At 42.4% G+C, this 952-nt stretch overlaps 1 annotated feature.

Moving 5' to 3' along the window:
• Positions 645-734: a silencer, noted in NCBI's record as "silent region_1810". NCBI's record gives its function as "represses an Ori minimal core promoter by ATAC-STARR-seq in GM12878 lymphoblastoid cells {active_cell/tissue: GM12878}" and the evidence as "EXISTENCE:reporter gene assay evidence [ECO:0000049][PMID:35858748]".

Below are 952 nucleotides of genomic sequence, written 5' to 3'. Positions count from 1 at the left end.
TAGCATTTTAGAATAGTGACTGATTTTCTTTCTGCTTGCAACGTTTAGGACACCTCCTTCTCTGATACTCCCAGACACTAGTACTGGGAATCACCTAACATACCTTTAGGCCCTGCACGTCTCATTAGTGGATGCCTTTGTCCTATCCAGAGTGAAGGTTCTACATTTTTCTCTGAAGATGAAGTTTAAGAACTTTTGTGAGCAAGGATTTGAGGTTTCACGCAACATGCTGAGAGGTAGAAGAGTAGAACAATGCAGAATGCTTCAGAAACCACTGTCTACTCTGTGGCCCCCAAAAAATGGGGAGCTTTTTAAAATATTTGAATGGCCAAGAGAAAATGAGTACAGCAGAATTATTCCCAGCTGCAAGAAAAATGTTACCTTTAACCAAAAGAGACTTCCCTGTGTTATTTATTCTCATGACTCATCAAGTCTGTTGGGATCAAGTCTAATCTTTGTCTAAATCCAAGAAGTGTTGGTTGTCTCTAGAGAAGGCTGACTTTTCATTCTGGTGGCCAACACTCATCTTCTCAGAACCGTGGGAAATTGTTTCTGTTGTTTCTTAGTTTGCTCTTTTGCTTTCCCTTTGGATAAAACAATTTTGTAAGCTCAAGGGGAGGCCTCCAGGAATCAGAGGCTGGGGGAGTGTATTGGAATCAGAGACAAAAGTCCTTCCAAGACCGAGATTACACTCCGCTTAGTTACCACCAGATGTCAGCAACTCATCTGATTTCAGTTCTCTAGCAAAGGGAAAGAGCCAGGAGGGGAAAGGACCGCCCGGGCTGACATCAGCTTTTTGTTTGTTTGTTTCAGGTGTGAGTTAAGGAAGTTGTCTGCCTCAGGAAAAGTGCTAACAGCTCAAGCAGGATGGTAGCCTGAGGACAAGTAGGACACTCTAACGTGTTCACGGGATGGAATTCTTGAACTAACACTTTAATTTGATTTTTTTCCT

Source organism: Homo sapiens, chromosome 1 (genome assembly GCF_000001405.40).
Source record: "Homo sapiens chromosome 1, GRCh38.p14 Primary Assembly".
NCBI lineage: Eukaryota > Metazoa > Chordata > Mammalia > Primates > Hominidae > Homo > Homo sapiens.
This window is presented reverse-complemented; position numbering and strand designations above follow the sequence as displayed.